Source organism: Homo sapiens, chromosome 15, assembly GCF_000001405.40.
Source record: "Homo sapiens chromosome 15, GRCh38.p14 Primary Assembly".
NCBI lineage: Eukaryota > Metazoa > Chordata > Mammalia > Primates > Hominidae > Homo > Homo sapiens.
This window is the reverse complement of record NC_000015.10, coordinates 36,844,579-36,852,859: the sequence shown is the minus strand read 5'-3', so window position 1 is coordinate 36,852,859 and position 8,281 is coordinate 36,844,579. Positions and strand designations below refer to the sequence as shown.

The window sequence follows — 8,281 nt, the reverse complement described above, 5'->3', positions numbered from 1 at the left end:
ACCACTCAGACTGAATTCTTTCCCTCTTACTCTCCTGGAGGAAGAGAAGAACCATCATCAATGGTACATGGTGGTTGCAGTGAAGCAACAAGAGTCTGCTTCATGCTCAGGCAACAACACTGAGACTCCTCCTCATGGCTTCCAGCGCTCTACATGTTTAGAGAAACTTTTCTAGTAATGAACTGTATAGAATGATCATGATTCTTGAAAGTATCGTCTTGAATTTTTCTTTTTATCATTATTTGTCCCTCCCCTCCCCTCCCATCCCCTCCCCTTTTTTCTCCTCTCCTCTCCTCTCCTTTCCTTTCTCTGTACCTGGGCTGGAGTACAGTGGCGCAATCCCCACTTACTGCAACTTCCACCTCCCAGGTTCCAGAGATCCTTCAGCCTCAGCCTCCCGATTAGCGGGGATTACAGGCACCCGCCACCACACCTGGCTAATTTTTTTGTATTTTTGGTAGAGATGGGGTTTCACCATGTTGGCCAGGCTGGTCTTCAATTCCTGGCCTCAAGTGATCCTCCTGCCTCAGCCTCCAAAAATGCAGGGATTACAGGTGTGAGCCACCATGCCCGGCCTTGTTTGGTTTCTTTCTTATTTCCAATAATGCTTGATGCCTGGTGTGACTACAAATATATTCACTTTATTTTGGCTAGTAGTAATATTTGCATGGGATGCTTTTTCGTCTTATACTCACAACATTTCTGTGCCCTTGTGTTTTAAGTACACCACTTGTAAGCAACATATACTTTGATTTTATTATAGTTTTAAAATACAATCTTCCATTAAAAAATCTGTCTATTTTCAATCTGTCCATTTTAAAAGTTAAACTTTTAACTGGAGAGTTTAGTATAATTAGTGATGTATTTGGATTTTTTTTTTTTTTTTGTCAGTTGAAACCCCAGAAGGAAATACATGGCATCATTTGTAAAAAACAAAACAAAACAAAACAAAACAAAACAAAACAAAACAAAAAAAACACTTACAAAAGTACAGTCTGGGTATGGGAACACTAAAAGTAAAGTAACCCAGAGCTCATAATGGCAGGCTTCATTTCCACCAAAAGTGCTGGGGGAATGAGAGAAAGGAGTAGTTACTGGGACCTAGAGTCAGAGAAGGCTATGTGTAGAGTGACCTGACAAGAACTGAGACCTTTGATTAAGGAATCAGCCAGTCTGATGTAATCCTGCAGTGAGAAAGCTGGGGAAGTGAATACTCAACCTCACTTTTCTTCTTTCTGATCTTCTACTCTTCAGAAACAAGAGAGCAAGGAAGTCTCTGATTTTGTCCAGGCCACACAGCAGGGTAGAAAAGTATATACAGATGGTGAATCTGGAAAGGCAAACAAGGATACCCATTCCACATGTCTACTGTATTAATTTGTGTTTTCTATTTATCCTTTTAAAAATGTGCTTTATTTAGGTATGGTTGGCATGCAATAAACTGCACATAAATAAAACATACATGACAAATTTAGACAAACATATACACTCTTGAAACCATCACCACAATCAAGATAGTAAATATAACCATCACTCCCCCCAAAATTCCTTATTTTCCTTGGTTAATCCTTCCCCATGGCTCCTAACCTCCATGACCAACAATCACTGATCTGCTTTTGGTCATAATAGTTAAGTGTGCAATTTCTAGAATTTCATATACGTGAATTCATATTACATATATATTTTTTGTCTAGCTTCTTTCAGTGAGCATAATTATTTGAGATAATTCATGTCGTATGTGTCAATAGTTCATTGCTTTTAATTGCTGAGTAGTATTCCTTTGTATGGATATACCACAAATTGTTTTTCTGTTTACCTTTTGATGGACATTTTGGTTGTTTTCAGCTGTTGGCTATTACAAATAAATCTATGAACATTTGCTTTCAAGTCTTTCTATGGACATATCCTTTCAATTTTTTAAAATTAAATACCTAGGAGTTGAGCTGGATCATATGGTAGTTGTATATTTAACTTTTTAAGAAACTTCCAAGTTTTCTACCAGCAGTATATGAAAGTTCCAGTTCCTCCACATCTTTGCCAACACTTGGTGTGGTCCATCTGTTTTATTTCAGCCATTTTGATAGTGGGCAACGGTGTCTCATGTGGTTTTAATGTGAATTTCCTAAATGTCTAGTGCTATTGTGCATCTTTTCATGTACTTTCTTGTAATTTATGTCTTCTTTGGTGAAGTACCTATCTAAATCTTTTGCCCATTTAAAAAATTTGTTTTTTTGTTTTCTTATTATTGAGATTGGAGAGTTCCTTATATATTATGGACACTTTTTTTTTAATCAGATATATGATTTGCAAAGATTTTCTTCTAAACTGCAGCATGTCTTTTTATTGTTTCAGCAATGTCTTCCAAAGGGAAGAATTTCATATTTCCTATGAAATCCAATCTATCTGCTGGGCATGGTGGCTCACACCTGTAACCCTAGCACTCTGGGAGGTTGAGGTGGGTGGATTGCATGAGCCCAGTAGTTTGAGACCAGCCTGGGCAACATGGGAAAACCCCATCTTTACAAAAAATACCAAAAAATCAGCTGCGCATGATGGCACATGCCTGTAGTCTCAGCTACTTGGGAGACTGAGGTGAGAGAATCACCTAAGCCAGGGAAGTCAAGGCTGCAGAGAGCTGTGATTGCAGCAATGCACTCCAGCCTAGGAAGTGAGGGACCCTATCTCAACAGAAAATAAAATTTCAGTTTATCAACTTATTCTTTTATACATCATGCTTTTGATGTCACATATGAATAAATTGTTGCCTACCCCAAGGTTGCAAAGTTTTTCTCTTATATTTTTCTCTAGAAATGCTATGGTTTTAGATTTCACATTTAGGTTTATGATCCATTTGAGTTAATTTTTCATATGGTACAGAGTATAAATTAACTTTCATTTTTTAAATAGAGATATTAAATTGTTCCTGCATCATTTGTTGAAAGACTATCTTCTCTCCAATAAATTGCCAGTCCACTTTTGTCACAAATATGCAAGTCTGGCCAGACGTGGTCTATTTCTGGACTCCAGTCTGTTCTGCTGATTTGTCCATCTTGGTAGCAATACCATCAAGTCTTGAGTACTATAACTTTATATTAAGTCTTAAAATCAGTTATTAGTCCTTCTGCTTCATTCTTCTTTGTAAAAGTTGTTTTCGCTAGGCCTTGCTTTTAAAATTTGTTAGGTGGGAACAGCAGAATGCTCAATTTAGTGCTAATTATTTCCCACTAATGGTAGAAGACCCTTCCAAGTAGTCTGTAAAATGCACGATTAATTTTGCATTTTCCAGTATGGTTGCTGGATATAGAAATTCTTTCTGGCCCCGTGTGAGCACCTGGTACTATTTCCTCTCATCGTTTCGGATTGTCCTTTTCCTGGCATCAGCTAATTTTCTTGTACACGTATTGATTCACATTTTGCTGAATACTTGAGGGCATCCTCTATCTTTATTTTACTTTAGGCAATATTTCCTCCCAAGATTTATCAGGAAGATTACTAAATAATAAGTCTTTTAGAGAGTGTGTATAATATGTGATTTAAAGCAAAAATAATGTAACTTTATTTCCACTGGATGACTTACAAAATGTTTCAGAAAATGGAGTTCTGATGCCATTTTGGTCCTCAGGGCATATGGATAGATTCAACACAATGATTATTCAGTATCTTGAGTCAATCTGGTTAGTGACTAACAACTTTTCCTAATAGAATTCTTGATTCTCACCCTGGCCAATCCTGCCTTGTCCAACCATAAAAAATCTGGTTAATGTCCTAATAATACTAGAGAGCTCTTTCTGTCTTTTTCTGACAAATTGCTTAGCACAATCAGAGCAGTTCCCTTTAGACTAGCAGCAAGAAATAGTGCTTTCTGTTCCTCTGTCTGATGGTTCATTTGGCTTATTATTTTAAATTGGGCATAATAAGCTTCCCAGGATGATTTTCCTTCGGCGTTGACTGGTCTTTGCATTGGCTGATTACACAAATTGACCATATTGCCACTTGTTTCTGGTTCTTGAGGCTAGAAACTTGATTTGGGATTCCATGATGGAAAGGAATATTGTGATCCTTCTGGCTTAAAAGAGACTTTCTTTGCTTGACTGTTAGCTGAAAAGGGATCTAAACAAAGTTGCCAGAAATTTCCTTCTCTTCCTCATATTGCCTTTACTGTTTATTATTCATTTTATTAAATCAATACTTTGATAATTAATGCTTCTACACCTGCTACATTCTTGATATTTTGTTTCTCCGCTTGCTGAATTATGCGTTTGCTAATATAGTTTGCCTCTTTGTTTTTTGTTTTATTTTTTTAAGCTGAAGAACTTTAAGCAAGTGAGGTTCCTTTTGCAAAGCCTAGTTGGCATGTGCCATTTAGTCTGAAATTTTGGGATTTATTCTGTATCATTTTGTATAATATTAATTGATTTGAAGTTAATTGAAATTTCTTTAGTTTCTGAGAATCCACATTGAGCTTTAATGCAATAAAATAAAAACATCTTAATTGTTTGCCTCGCTCATTCATATGTGTACATTTAACAGTGTGAACTTCAAAGTTAAATTATTGGGAGGGTTCAATCAAGGAGAGGGCATTAAGATGTATTTCCTTTCCTTCTGTCTCTTTCCTAAGAAGACTGTTCCAATTAAGTATAATAGAAAACAATGTATAGAGCACAGACCTTTACTGCAGCAAGTAACATAGAATAGGCATAGGAAGTCCCAGTGATGTAAGCAGTAGACATCTCTTGGATGTTTTCTTGTCCAGCTTCCATCATGTTTATCACCTCTTACTGCTCTTATCTTCCGTAAGATAACTTCTACTGAGTAACAAAAGCTATCTCAAATCATTTAATCATCCAAGGGCCAGCAATTACTCTTATACCTAGCTATCTATGAATATGGTTATTAATAACTTCTATAATCTAAACTCACTCATGAGTTTAGAGCTTTTTAATTCTTGGAATAATGCCCCTTTAGAAATTAATTTTGGGGCATCCATTAGATAATTTCCCATTAAATGACTTATTCTTATTACTTCAACATTCATCTGTCAGAGAATATAAAAGGAGTCACTTCTGATTTTACCTGAGATTCTTACTTCCCGAGGTAGCCAATAACCAATCTTGGGGTGGGGAAAAAAAAGAGCAAGAAGGCAAAATACCTGGACTAACTTTGAAACCTGGCTTTTATACATGGGGACCTCATTATCTAATTACTGCATATAAGTTCTAAAGTTATTAGGCAGTCTAGGGAAAAGTGGTCACTACCCAGAAATGTCCATTACTGAACTAACCACTTATACAACTAATCCCCATCCAACTAGCTCTCCTGGCTTAGCAGAACATTTATATCAGCCTATTGTGCCAATGTCTTGGTTAGTCTCTCACTGACTATCAAATATTATAAAAAGCCAACAATGTGATACAATATAATACAAATTGACTGCAAAGAGAAATTATGCATATTTCAAAAGTTGTAGAATTTTATGAAAGAATGAAAGTAATGTTGGTGAGCTGCATAAATCGCATTTTAAGCCACTATTTGACATATAGGGATCTGGCAGAGTTAATTTAACAATCAGAGAAGAGAAGGCCAGGCGCGGTGGCTCACGCCTGTAATCCTAGCACTTTGGGAGGCCAAGGCGGGTGGATCACGAGGTCAGGAGATCGAGACCATCCTGGCTAACAAGGTGAAACCCCATCTCTACTAAAAAATACAAAAATTAGCCGGGAGTGGTGGCGGGCGCCTGTAGTCCCAGCTACTCGGGAGGCTGAGGCAGGAGAATGGCATGAACCCGGGAGGCTGAGCTTGCAGTGAGCCGAGATGGCGCCACTGCACTCCAGCCTGGGCAACAGATCGAGACTCTGTCTCAAAAAAAAAAAAAAAAAAGAAGTTAAAAAAAAAAAAAGAATCAGAGAAGAGAAATCAAGAAGGAGGATGGCTAAATAGAGAATGTGAATATCAAAGTCTTAGTAAGACCCTCAGAAAAACCTAATTTTAAAAAACTTCAAATATTTTCCAGGTGATAGTCTTGTGTTGCAGAAGTGAAATGTGAAATGATGGCTGTATTATATTGCCTTACAATTTTCTTGGGAAAATTACCACAAAAGTCAATACTTGATTTACTCTTCTTGATTCTGAGTACTGCATTTAATTATAAAATATATTTTGTTACTTATAAAATAAAATGCATGTGCTTCAATAATTTTTGCTTTAATTTTTACAATTGTTCTCAGCAAATCCTTTTGAAATATGTTTTTATCAAATTATGGTTCCATTTTAAGTGGATTCACTGGGAGATGCCTTTTGCTGACACCAATTAACCCTGGTCAATGAGAACCTCTCAGGCAATGAAGTGATCCATTTTCTTCTTCTCTTTCACCGTGTTAAATCAAAGTTTAGCCTAAAGCTGCTTCCTTACATATTTTAAGTTCGGCCTAAAGGTTTTTTGTACATCATGAACTCTAACAAGTAGATGTACAAACAAACTGTAACCTGCACTTGTGCCAATCACTGAGTTTTGGACAGTCAACTGTAGCCAACTGTTTTAACTGCGTTCAAATAAGGCAAATGCCGAGCTGTAACCAATCCAGCTGCTTCTGTACCTCACTTCTGTTTTCTGTACCTCACTTTCCTTTTTCTGTCCATAATCTTATCCACCACGTGGCTGCGCTGGAGTCTCTGAGCCTATCCTTGCTCAGAAGGCTGCCTGATTTGCGAATCGTTCATTGCTCCTTTAAACTCATTTAAATTTAATTCAGGTGAAGTTTTCATTGTATCAACTCTCCTCCACTCTCCACTCCATCCCCCATTTAGCTCATTGCTTTCTCTACCTCTGTCCTTGCCGTTGTGTGATTTTCTTCTTTCCTAGCTATCATCTCCTTTGGTGAGGCTCTAGCTCCCGGAAAACCAGAAGGGTGAGTGCGTGTAGTCAGTCTCCTGAGATGCTTGTTGAACTGCTGACATCTTTGCAATTTCACTCTATTAGGAAATACGGAAAATACATTTTTATGTTTATATATCTACCCTTATTCCTAACCATTTGAAACAAATCATATTACATGAAGGCTGGTTTACTTTTACTAAATCTTCTTAGGAAGGATAAAAATTGCTATAGTGATAATTAGCTAGCCCCTCCTTAAGGAGAAAAATTGAGGCAGAAAGTTCCAGAAGGAGAGAGTAAGAGGGTCAGGTCTTTAAAAATGTCACCTGATCCCTTTTGAGAATCAGTCTTGAGATTTGTACATGGTAAATGCTCAATAAATATTCACAGATGGGCTAATTGGCAAATAAGAAGCCAGTCCTAGGACCCAGTGTTTTCTCATATTGTCAATTCACTCTAGAGTAAAGTCATGAAAATGCCTGGGGCACAGTGCACACTGCTTTTGTTGATTGGGGCTTAGATTATTTGCCAGATTGATTGGTGTTTCTCAACCACACAGGGAGCTTTAAATCCTGATGACCAGGTTGCACCCCAGACCAAACCTTTGGGGAGGGAACCAGTGCTAGTACATATAAAGCTCCCTTGATTATTTCAGTGTGTAGTCAAATTGGAAAACCATCTTCTTAGATGATGATATTTCTATGCACTTTCCTTATGGCTCTGAGGTCTCAAGTTTTCCTTTTAACTTTCTCTTCTTCTTTTAAAATTACTTTTACCCCAAAGAAAAGGCATGATGAAGTCCTTATAACTTTCTGCAGCAAGCACCAATACAGGTAATTTGACACTGATGGGGAGGCTCAAAATTGTCCTGGGAGTATGACGAGGCAGAGTGCTCATCCTGGTGGCTGCACTTATCTAATTTAGCACTGGGATCAGGTTGAAGTCTTTTTCACATACACAGTTCTCAGGTGGACCTGCCTCCACTTCTCTTCCGTGTTACAACTCTGATTACTATGAACGCAGACAGCAGCTCTTTGAAAGGGTGCCAGGGCTTGGAGACTGACAGAGGAGACATCCCTCCTGCAGCTGTGCTCTTTCTCCTTGGCTCCTTCTTGTGGCTGCTGTCAGGCTCACTTCTTGAGATGTTAAGAAAGAAATATCTCTCTGGTTTTCTTCTCCCCAACCCTCACTTTTTTTTGGGTGATATGCAGCACAAAACAGTCTAGAAATATTCTTCCTATGCCAAACCACGGTCAAGTGTGAACCTAGAAAACACATGAAGCAGACAAAATTCCTGCCCTGGCAAGAAGCCTACATTTTAAACTGCACATTGAAAAAAGCATTCACTAGGATGTAATGTAAACATTGACTTACAAGCTTTGGTGTGCTCCGTGTTTGTGTTGTATAAGT

The 8,281-nt window shown here is 37.8% G+C and overlaps 1 non-coding gene across 1 annotated transcript; it reads right to left on the bottom strand.

The window, feature by feature from the left end:
• LOC124903595 (small nucleolar RNA U3) lies at positions 1-220 on the bottom strand. The gene has a single exon (XR_007064822.1). It is a non-coding gene; the product is annotated as a small nucleolar RNA U3 (small nucleolar RNA).
• Positions 221-8,281: the final 8,061 nt, after the last annotated feature.